The 7,507-nt window shown below is 57.2% G+C and overlaps 1 protein-coding gene across 9 annotated transcripts in view, besides 2 other annotated features; it reads right to left on the bottom strand.

Moving 5' to 3' along the window:
* The window catches only part of SYT12 (synaptotagmin 12), a 44,093-nt gene continuing 39,495 nt past the window's right edge, over positions 2,910 to 7,507 (bottom strand). For all 9 annotated transcript variants that reach the window (XM_011545346.4, XM_006718737.5, XM_024448766.2 and 6 more), the window contains one exon: positions 2,910 to 5,189. In XM_011545346.4, coding sequence (XP_011543648.1) covers positions 5,016 to 5,189 — 174 coding nt within the window. In that variant the 3' untranslated portion in view covers positions 2,910 to 5,015. The remainder of the gene's footprint in view (positions 5,190 to 7,507) is intronic.
* Positions 4,470 to 4,998: an enhancer, noted in NCBI's record as "H3K4me1 hESC enhancer chr11:66816246-66816774 (GRCh37/hg19 assembly coordinates)". NCBI's record gives its function as "activates a minimal SCP1, AML or CMV promoter by ChIP-STARR-seq in primed H9 embryonic stem cells {active_cell/tissue: H9 hESC(primed)}" and the evidence as "EXISTENCE:reporter gene assay evidence [ECO:0000049][PMID:30033119]".
* Positions 7,368 to 7,447: an enhancer, noted in NCBI's record as "active region_5066". NCBI's record gives its function as "activates an Ori minimal core promoter by ATAC-STARR-seq in GM12878 lymphoblastoid cells {active_cell/tissue: GM12878}" and the evidence as "EXISTENCE:reporter gene assay evidence [ECO:0000049][PMID:35858748]".

Below are 7,507 nucleotides of genomic sequence, written 5' to 3'. Positions count from 1 at the left end.
GATGTGATCTCGGCTCACTGCAACCTCCGCCTTCCGGGTTCAGGCGATTCTCCTGTCTTAGCCTCCTGAGTAGCTGGGATTAGAGGCACCTGCCACCACGCCCAGCTAATTTTTGTATTTTTAGTGGAGACGGGGTTTCACCATGTTGGCCAGGCTAGTCTCAAGCTCCTGACCTCAGGTGATCCACCCGCCTCGGCCTCCCATAGTGCTGGGATTATAGGCGTGAACCACCGCGCCCGTCCCTGGCCCACATTCATCTGAAATACTGGATCCTAAGAGCCTTTGCCCTCAGCCTGAACTCCTCCACCCAAAGCCTTGACCTCGCATTTACTGAGCACCTACCTGTGCCGGACACTTGGCACATGTCATTTCATGCCATCCTATGAAGTATGTTCAATTCTTATCCTCCTTTGACAAGTGAGGAAACTGAGGCCCAAAGAGGTTGGATAATTTGCCCAAGGTCCCGCAGCTAGTAAGCAGAGAAGCTGGGATTTGGACCCAGGCCCTTGGGCTCCGGAGTCCATACACACAGAATGTCCAAAAGTCAGAGGTACAGGGCTCTTTAGAGGCCATCTTATCCAACACCCCCATTCTTCAGATGGGGAAACTGAGGCCTGAGAAGGGAAGGAACTTACACAGCAAGTGAGCAGCAGACTCAGCTTTACGCCAGGTGGAAACCAGAGGGCCTCTGCTCCCAAGTTTCTTTTTGTCTAGCCTGCCCAGACAGCTCCAGCCTGGCTGCCATCTAACTGGAGCCCCAGGCCACGGGGACGTGCCCTCCTGCCCTGGCCTCCTCTCCCTGCCAAACCATTATTGATCTTTCAGGTTGGGACGGAAGGGCTGATAATAGGGTGGGAGGGGTGGAGAGAGAGGAGGTCTGGTGGCCCCATCCTGGTGCTTATTAAGCCTTTTGATTTGTCCCTTTTGGGGGTCTGCAGGCACAGACAGATAGAAGAGAGGAAGGGAAGTTTGGAGCTTAGAGCTGCTGCCGACCGTGATGCAGTGGCTTGCTCTGCTTCTCCCACATGCAGGCCTAGCCCAGGCAATGCTGCTGGGCAGGTCAGAGACCTCCACACCTGTCCTCTTCGGTGGGGCTCCCAGACAGAGGGGGCCTGGGACCCTGGAGGTGTGTCCTTGGGCCCAGGGCTGGAGGAGGGGAGATGAAGGGGTGGGGAGGGATGGGACCCTGGATGTGGGGTGGCCTGAGAAAGGAGGGAAATAGGTTGGGAAGATTACAAGAGAGAAGAAGGAGGCAAGACAGCTTCTCAGAGCCTGGGTTGTCCCAGCTTCTCTCCAGGATGGCACCTCAGTTTGAGTCCTGCTGAATGAACCCAAACCTAAAGGCAGCTCAGAGGCCTCCTGCCTGCCCCTCCTGCCACTCACTGGCGAGGGTAACATTCACTGATGTCCCTCTGTGTCACCTCCAAAGCTGCTTAGAGTGACCCCTCCCTCCCTTGGACCTGCTCCTGCTCAAGACCCCACCATGGCTCCCCACTGCCAGCAGGATAAGGAGCTTCTCCCTGAGCTTGGACACACAGCCTCCACAGCCCAACCCCACCTGGCCTCTCAAGCCTCAGCCCAGCTGTGTCTCCCCAGACACTGTGACACCTTTGCTCAGGCAGTTTGAGACCCCTCTCCCTCCTCCATGTGTACAGTCCCCCTGCTGCAAAGCCAGCTCTCATGCTTCTACCTCCTCCAGGAAGCCCTCCCTGGTCTCTGCCCCTCTTACCGGCTCCTGCCACAGCCCGTCTCATTGGTTGCCTCAGAAGCTCTTCGGAGTCAGTCCCTGTGGTGGACAGGCCTCCCAGGAGCTGCTGGGAATTCTCCATCAGCTCATCCTTATCCATGCTTGATGTCCCACGCTTCTGATCTTCCAGGGGTGGGGAGGGGAAGGCAGCAGCCTGGGACCCAGCGGGGGTTTCTCTTATGCCCTCAGCCTTACATTCAAGGAGCTGGGGAAGGGGGCGTTGTTGCTGAGTGATCCAGAGCACTGGCTCTGTAGCAAAGACAGGCCGAGCTTGAGTCCCAGCTCTGTGACTTTCTGGCTGTGTGGCCTTGGGCTAGTTACCTAACCTCTCTGAGCTCTTTTCCACATCTGCAAAAAAGGGGATAGCAGCAGCACTTACTTTGAAGTGTTGCAGGCTGAACACCAGCACTCGCTGAATGTGGAAGGCCCTTCTACCCTTCAGAACTCCCCCTTGGCTCTCTTCTTCCCACCCTGCTCACTCCCTCCACCATCCCCCACTTTATTCTGGCCAAATGGATACACTGGCCAAGTTTTCGCCCCCTTGTGCCCTTTTGTATATGGGGTTCCCTGCTAGGAATGCTTCTCCTGCCGTGTCTACCTGATCTCCTCCTTCTGGCCCTGAAGCCTCAGCTGGGTGTCACCACCAGGAAGCCTTCCTTGATACTCCCCATCATCCTACTCTCTCCTGCCAGAGCTGGCTCAGTGGCCCCTCCTCTGAGCTTCCCAAGGAGTCTGATGCATTGGTCCTTCCTTTTTTTTTTGAGACCTTTTTTTGAGTCTTGCTCTGTCGCCCAGGCTTGAGTGCAGTGGCGCGATTTCAGCTCACTGGAGCCCCTGCCTCCCAGGTTCAAGCGATTCTCCTGCCTCAGCCTCCCGAGTAGCTGAGATTACAGGCACATGCCACCACACCTGGCTAATTTTTGTATTTTTAGTAGAGATGCGGTTTCGCCGTGTTGGCCAGGCTGGTCTTGAACTCCTGACCTCAAGTGATCTGCCCACCTCAGCCTCCTAAAGTGCTTAAATTACAGGTGTGAGCCACCATGCCCAGCATGCATTGGTCCCTGTGATGGTCTCCCCAGCAGAGAGAGGCCTCACTCCCCTCTGGGCACTCTGTAGCAGGAAGGAGGGTGCACAGTAACACATAGGAGGCCTGAGTCCCTGATTCCTAGAGAAGAGACGAAGGTGATTCAGGGCCGAGCAGGGCTCCCTGGAAGCCCCCTCTTCCTGCCCCAACTTTATTTTGGTTCTAGAATCATTCCAGTTGGCATACCCGGTCCCCACCACGGCTGTCCTGGGCACACAGTTAACATGTCATGCAGTTAGGGGGAGGGAGAGAGGGGAGAGGGCAGGGGGGGAGTCAGTGGCCTGCACCGCACAGCCACTGGGTTAGAGAAAGTCGGGGTCTCCCAGGCTGCAAAGCCTTGTCCAGCCATGTGTCTCCTGGCCCTGGGCTGACCTCCTGCTGTGGCCATAGGGTAGACAGCCTGGCCTTGGGGCTGGGCCATGGCTGTGTCAGGTAGGGAAAGCCACCATCCTGCCTCCAGTCCCCTGGGCCCTTGTTCTAGCCCCTCCTCCCCCCATATCACTGGGGATAATTTGTTGGCCTGGGTCTCCATAGCTCACCAGTTATGGACCAAGGAACAGGGGCAGCCAGCCTGAGGGTCCATGCTGTCACCTGTGGGTGGCCCCACCGAGCAGATGATACCCCACCTGCTGGCCTGGGTGAGCTCAGCCCTTCCCAGCACTCAGCCATGAAGGCAAGAAGCGGCTTCCTGGGACTGCGGGACACCAGGCTGGGGATGACAAGCTCTGCCTGCTCTCCTCCTACTGGGGCTGGGGGGTAACCAAAGACTGATGCCAGTAGAGGTGCAACAGCCCAGCCCCTCTGCTTCTGGGTGGGAGCCCCCAGGGTGCCCCTCGTACTCCAGGCCCCTGCCCCCACAGCGATCAGGCCAAGGCGATGGATCTTGAAGCCACACTTGCGTGGCTTCCTCCATCCAGCCTGAGCTCCCTTTCTTGATCTGGTAAGTTTCTCTGAGAACACTCACCCGCAAGAAACTACTTGCCCCAGAATCCCCCTCTCAGATTTCGCTTCTAGGGAACTCAAGCTAGGAGACCCGGTGTCGGGGGCACCCACCCCGTGATCGAGAGCCGCCTCCTTCCTAGCCTGGCATTCAGTCTTCTCCTGGCGTCCCTCAAGCCGCCCTTCCACCCTGGCCTTCCCCGGCTTCCCATCAGGCCTCAGCCACCTGGGCTGTCCTTCCGCTGCCACCCCTCCAAGGCCCAGCCCGAGAGCCTCCTTGTCCACCACATCTTCGCAGGCACGTGCAGCCCACCAAGACCTCTGCTGTCAGTATTCTCTCTGCCCCACCCCTGCCACCCCCAGGCTGAGACCTGCCTGAGGCATCTTTCTCCCAGTGGGCCTGCAAGGGCATCAACAAATGCTTGCAGGGTCTGGGCCTGGTTTGCGCAGGACTGAGCACAAGGACCTGGGTCTGGGCCTCTTTGGACCTCTGGTTCTTGCCATGGTTGAGGTCCGGGGAGTAGATTTGACAGAGAATAACTCCGGAGCCAGTGTTCCACGTGGCCGGTAGGCTGCTGCCCGGGCCTGGTCTCTTGGTCTCTTCTCCGGCCCCGAGAAAGGCCCTTCCTTGTATCCACTGCAGTGGGCTGAGAACTGCATTTGCGATGGGGAAGTTCACATCCTGCCATTGCTCAGGCTGGGCCCGCTGCCTGCGACATGCTCAGTTCTTTTCCTGCCCCTCCAAGCACAGCTCCTACCTTGTCAAAGAGGCCCTTCCTGTTTCCCTAGCCCTCAGAGCCCCCTGAGTCCACACAGCTGGGCTGCCATCAGCACTGAGCAGATCCTCCGGGGCAGGGGAGCTAGTCTTCCTGATGCCCTAAGGGCCGGGTCTTCTTCGTGTTACCCCTGCTGGTGCCTAGCACAGTGCCTGGCCCCCAAGATTCACTGGGTTCCAGAACATAGCCCAGCTCGGCAGCTGGCCTACCGGGAGGAGCAGGGTTGAGTCCTCTGTCCTGGCCCAGCCACAGCTGGTCCTCAGCAGGAGCAGACCCTGGGGCCCTGGACACAGAGCCACGCCCACTCCTCTGCTGCAATCTGGACAGAGAGACCAGGATGGGTCATGAGGACTCTGCCAGGGGACCCCAGTGTTCACGGCTCCAGCTGGGCTATGGAGAGGGCATCAGACAGAGCTGAGTGGGTACCGGGCTCCAGCAGCTCCATTGCCCAACTGGCCCGCCCTGGTTGCTAGTTTCGCCGGACAGCGTGCCACATGGACACGGGCCTGCGCAGCGTGGCCAACATCTGGTTCCAATGTGTGGTTCCCATGCCACTGGCTGACGGCCCAATGATGACATGGCCCACGTTGTCCCCACGGCCGTCGCTGCTGCTCTCAGCCACCGTCACGCGGAGAGACAGGTCCTGAGGAAGAGGCAACATGGGTGCTGAGGACCAGGGGCAGTCAGAGGTACTTCTTGGCCTCTGGGTTCAAGGTTACAAATGTCAGGCCCCAGTGGGGTGCCAGGCACAGCTCCCTGAATCCTCACCTCTGATCTAAGAGGTGAGGAGACTTGCCCCAGGTCACTCAGCAAATAAATGGCAGGCAAGAGTTTGAACTAGGCCTGCCTAGGCCCTCAGGTTTCTCTTGCTGCCTCCCTCCACAGTGGCAGCACCTGCCTGCCAGGTTTCAAATGCTGGCCTCCCCAATTCCCCCTGATCCTTTTTTTTTTTTTTTTTGAGACAGTCTCACTCTGTTACCCAGGCTGGAGTACAGGGGCATGATCTCAGCTCACTGCAACCTCCGCCTCCCAGGTTCAAGCAATTCTCCTGCTTCAGCCTCCCAAGTAGCTGGGATTACAGGCTCCTGCCACCATGCCCGGCTAATTTTTGTATTTTTAGTAGAGATGGGGGTTTCGGCCGGGCACGGTGGCTCACGCCTGTAATCCCAGCACTTTGGGAGGCCGAGGCGGGCGGATCATGAGGTCAGGAGGTCGAGACCATCCTGGCTAACATGGTGAAACCCCGTCTCTACTAAAAATACAAAAAAAAAATTAGCCCGGCCTGGTGGCGGGCACCTGTAGTCCCAGCTACTTGGGAGGCTGAGGCAGGAGAATGGCGTGAACCTGGGAGGCGGAGCTTGCAGTGAGCCAAGACAGCGCCACTGCAGTCCAGCCTGGGCGAAAGAGCGAGACTCCGTCTCAAAAAAAAAAAAAAAAAAAAAAAAAAAAGAGATGGGGGTTTCATCATGTTGGCCAGGCTGGTCTTGAACTCCTGACCTCAGGTGATCCTCCCACCTCAGCCTCCCAAAGTGCTGGGATTACAGGCATGAGCCACCACGCCTGGCCTCCACTTCCTTGCTGTGTGACCTTGGGCAGTGACTTGGGCTCTTGCTACCTCAGCTTCTCCATCTGTGAAATGGTGATGATAATATTTGTTCTGGCTGGGCATGGTGGCTCACATCTGTAATCCTAGCACTTTGGGAGGCCGAGGCAGGCAGATCACCTGAAGCTGGGAGTTCGAGACCAGCCTGGCCAACATGGTGAAACCCTGTCTCTACCAAAAATACAAAACTTAGCCAGGCATGATGGTGCTTGCCTGTAATCCCAGCTACTCGGGAGGCTGAGGCAGGAGAATCACTTGAACCTGGGAAGTGGAGGTTGCAGTGACCAAGATCACTCCACTGCACTCCAGCCTGGGTGACAGAGCAAGACTCTGTCTCAAAAAAAAAAAAAAAAAATTGGGGGTGGGCACAGTGGCTCACACCTGTAATCCCAGCACTTTGGAAGGCCGAAGTGGGTGGATCACCTAAGGTTGGGAGTTTAAGACCAGCCTGGCCAGCGTGGTGAAACCCCATCTCTACTAAAAATACAAAAATTAGCCAGGTGTGGTGGCAGGTGCCTGTAATCCCAGCTACTCAGGAAGCTGAGGCAGAAGAATCATTTGAACCCAGGAGGCGGAGGTTGCAGTGAGCTGAGTTCACACCATTGCACTCCAGCTTGGGCAACAGAGTGAGACTCTGTCTCAAAAAAAAAAAAATTGGTTTCTATCTCATAGGGCTGTTTCAGGAACAAAAAGAGTGAACTGTGTAGAACGGCACCTGCGCACAGTCAGAACATGCTAGAGGTTGCGTTGCTATTACTAATATCACCACGTTGCACTCACAACCGAGGACGGGAGAGACTGCTTGAGATGAGAGCGGGAGCTGAAACTCAAACCCAGCCCGATCTCTCTCCTCCTCCACTTCCCCCATGGTCCCAAGAAGTCTCTTGCTTTTAGAGGCTGTGGAGAAGTGGCACTATGACACCCAGGGAGAGGCAGAGGACACATGGGCAGCCTGCTCCACGAGGGTGGCAGGTGAAGGCTACGATACCCAGGATGGGCCAGAGATGCTGGGGTGTGCCCGGGTTAGGAACACTCAGAGTGAGGCAGATTCTGGGCCTTTACATGCTGGCGGGGTCCCCGGGTTGGGGGAGATTAGGCGGGTTCTGTACAGCCCTGGGGCTATGGAGGCAGGTTTTGGCTCAAGGCACAAAGGACTTTCTCATTGTCAGGAGTGCCGAGGAGGGCTAGAGATAGTGAGGGAAGGTGGTGCGAGCCCCATCCTCCGAGGCATGCAAGCAGGGCCCAAGCCCTATCTTCAAGCCCCACCCGTGGTCTGTGATGTCCCTGCTGGGAGAGGTCTCCCTGGAGCATGTCACCTTCTGAAGACCACGCGAACCTGGGGAGTTCAGCAGAACCCT

Source organism: Homo sapiens, chromosome 11 (assembly GCF_000001405.40).
Source record: "Homo sapiens chromosome 11, GRCh38.p14 Primary Assembly".
NCBI lineage: Eukaryota > Metazoa > Chordata > Mammalia > Primates > Hominidae > Homo > Homo sapiens.
The sequence above is the reverse complement of the archived record's forward strand: the minus strand, read 5'-3'. Positions and strand labels throughout refer to the sequence as shown.